The sequence below is a fragment of the Homo sapiens genome, chromosome 7, assembly GCF_000001405.40.
Source record: "Homo sapiens chromosome 7, GRCh38.p14 Primary Assembly".
NCBI classification, from domain to species: domain Eukaryota; kingdom Metazoa; phylum Chordata; class Mammalia; order Primates; family Hominidae; genus Homo; species Homo sapiens.
In genome coordinates this window covers 49,124,683-49,127,644 of record NC_000007.14, presented here as the reverse complement: position 1 = coordinate 49,127,644, position 2,962 = coordinate 49,124,683, and the positions used below count along the sequence as shown (strand labels likewise).

Here is a 2,962-nt window from a genome sequence, read left to right as displayed (position 1 = left end):
AGATGATGAATCACCAAAGTTGTCGTTATTTGCTTTCTTTCCTTCTTTCGAAGTCATTGGAAAGTTCTGTTGCTTTGCTGTGTGTTTGTTTACTTTTTGCCTAACTTCTGGTAAGCTCTTTCTATAAAGGTGATGCATATTTGTTAAGACATGCTTTTGAAACCACGTGGACCAGATGGAACTACATAAACATTTGGAAAGGAAAAAAAGGTATTTATTTTTCTATTGCCATGACAAATCATCTGTATTTTATTAATACTGTAAGATTGAAATAAACTACTTTTTTTTTTTTTTTGAGATGGAGTCTCACTCTGTCACCCAGGCTGGAGTGCAGTGGCACGATCTCAGCTCACTGCAAGCTCTGCCTCCCAGGTTCACATCATTCTCCTGCCTCAGCCTCCCGAGTAGCTAGGACTACAGGTGCCCCCCACCACGTCCAGCTAATTTTTTGTATTTTTAGTAGAGACAGGGTTTCACCGGGTTAGCCAGGATGGTTTCGATCTCCTGACCTCTTGATCTGCCCACCTCGGCCTCCCAAAGTGCTGGGATTGCAGGCGTGAGCCACCGTGCCTGGCCAAAATGAACTACTTATTATCATTTATAACATCCAAAAGACTTGAAGACAAAGTTAGAAATAAATTTACTCTGGTTGGGAAGGTAGAAAGGAAGTGGCTATACCACAGTACAAAACTAGATTTATGTAATCTGAAGGAAAGAAAGTGTTAAGAAATGAGTCTCATTCATTTATTCTCTTAACTTTGTAGAGGGAATCTGGATATAAGGTCATTTAACTACCAAAATAAGAAGCTCTGAACCTCTCATTACTCTGAAATAGAGAGAGGGTGCTAATCAGAATTAACAAAAGAAAACATAACAGAAGCTCTGTGTTCAGGACTGGGAATACTGAGCATCACAGGCATAGGGTATCTTCACTGTCGAGAGGGTGCCATGCTAGGATGGTACCCAAGTTAGACATCGATGAGGAAGTCCTAAACATGCCGCAGATGTGATGGCATTATGAGAAATACATATGTGCAGGTTAACCTCAGAGAGTAGACAGATAAGAAGAAATATAGAGGTGAAGGATATAGGCAAGTGGATGTAGAAAAGTCTTAACCTGTTTAGGAATCAGAGTTTGCCTTGGAATGAGAGAAGTCAAAATAGTAAGCTCAAGAAGTGATCTGGAAATTTGCTTCCTAAGTAGGTCTTAGAATACTATTCTTGGCCTAATAGTTAATGGATTACTGGGTAATCCATCACAAAAATAAATTTTAACAATGTTGGTTTCAATGAGTTAAACGTGTTTTTCTTCTGCAAAATGTATTAATGTCTTTAATATACTAATAGGCATTGTGACTTTCCTAACAAACTGATAGCATGCAAACTTTTGCAACCCTTTTGATGACAGAGCCACTTTTTATAAATGCCTGTTTCTAGAACTATTATAGTCAATGCATACAAACTTGAAAGAAAAATGGTTTATAGGAATATCATAAGTTCCAATTAATATTTGGTTTAGACAGCAGTTATAAAAAATGGAAGCAAATTTCGTTAGAATGTATCAAAATGTAGAGTTATTAAAATTCCACATAGATCCCTAGGCTAAATTCTTGGTGTCCCTAACCTACTAGATGTGCATTTTCTTCTTAGAAGACAAAGTTCATCCAAAGAGTAAGCATTTTGCTAAGAAAAGTTTACAAACCTTAATCTTGAGTGCTAAATTAAAGGCAAGTTGACTACTGTCTGCAAGGATCTCAGCAGAGTTTAACAGAGTTCAGGAAGGTGGCAGCCCTGAGAGTACAGGCTCCTGACTCCTTTAAATAACGAGGATGGGAGACAAGGCAACTGTGGACACACGGTGTCTGGGAAGTTCTTGAAGGCTATCCAAGGCCATAGTTTGCAGTGGTGATTTTTTTTTTTTGCCCTCGGATTTGGACCACATGGAGGAGTTTCTTCTTGAGTCTTGGTGAAGACTGACTCTTGCTCAGGTACTGAGAGGCTTCAGAAGAAGGTGAGTGAGTTGTTCAACACTGGCCTGAAATCAGGGGATGAAGATGATAGACAATAGCATGAAGATTACAGTTAGGGAAAAGAAACATTTCCGAACAGACAAGCTTGCTGGACAGCTGAAAAGGGCTGCCCCTCCTCCTACAGCCTCCTGCCTCTGTTTAAGCACTCTTGCCTGGTAAAGTTGATCTGTCCGAGATGAATTAAACAGTGTTTTTCCTTGAGGCAAGCAAGGGGTTTTCCCAAATCCCTTCATGGACATAAATTCTATAACAAGTGTCCATCGTTTTTAGAAGTTATTCATGTGTACCTTCCTTTCCACCTCATACAGAACATCATAAACATAGACAAAATTGTTATAATACATATGTAACAAACCTGCACATTGTGCACACGTAGCCTAAAACTTAAAGTATAATAATAATAGAATTTAAAAAATTGTTATAGAAGTCTTCTCATAAATGATTAAACACTTAAGTCAGAAAGAACAATAGCATTATCTCATTGTTGCTAATGAATATAAATACCTTGGCATTATTTTATATGCTGATTCATAGGATGTTTATGCAATGTCTCATTCTTTTAACTTCACTTTTCTTGTGATTTATAATCTCTTCATTAAACAGTCTTCTCATCCTCCCTGGCAGGATGTGGATGCTGAACCCCGCTATATGTCCGTTCATCAAGAACCTTAGTCTTCCGATAAGATGCCCCAAGCACTGTGTCCAAAAGAGCTCTCATTGTAATTGGGTCTGAAATTTACATAATAATGTTATCTTTAATTCTGGAAAATGATAACCATAGAAATGAATTAATGATGGGAACAATTATCAAGAAATGGGATTCAATAATGTTAGAGTTTAGAAACTGTTGAGCTGAAAAATGCTAATGCAGTTGTTTGTTTGGGCTTTTGTTCTCAGTAGGATTGTCAAAGGAGGAGAATGTGAGAAAATAT

At 37.8% G+C, this 2,962-nt stretch overlaps 1 annotated feature.

Moving 5' to 3' along the window:
• Positions 1,763 to 2,962: an enhancer, noted in NCBI's record as "CDK7 strongly-dependent group 2 enhancer chr7:49164279-49165478 (GRCh37/hg19 assembly coordinates)". NCBI's record gives its function as "activates an origin of replication core promoter dependent on BRD2, BRD4, P300/CBP, MED14 and CDK7 cofactors, with strong dependence on CDK7, by STARR-seq in HCT116 cells {active_cell/tissue: HCT116}" and the evidence as "EXISTENCE:reporter gene assay evidence [ECO:0000049][PMID:35650434]".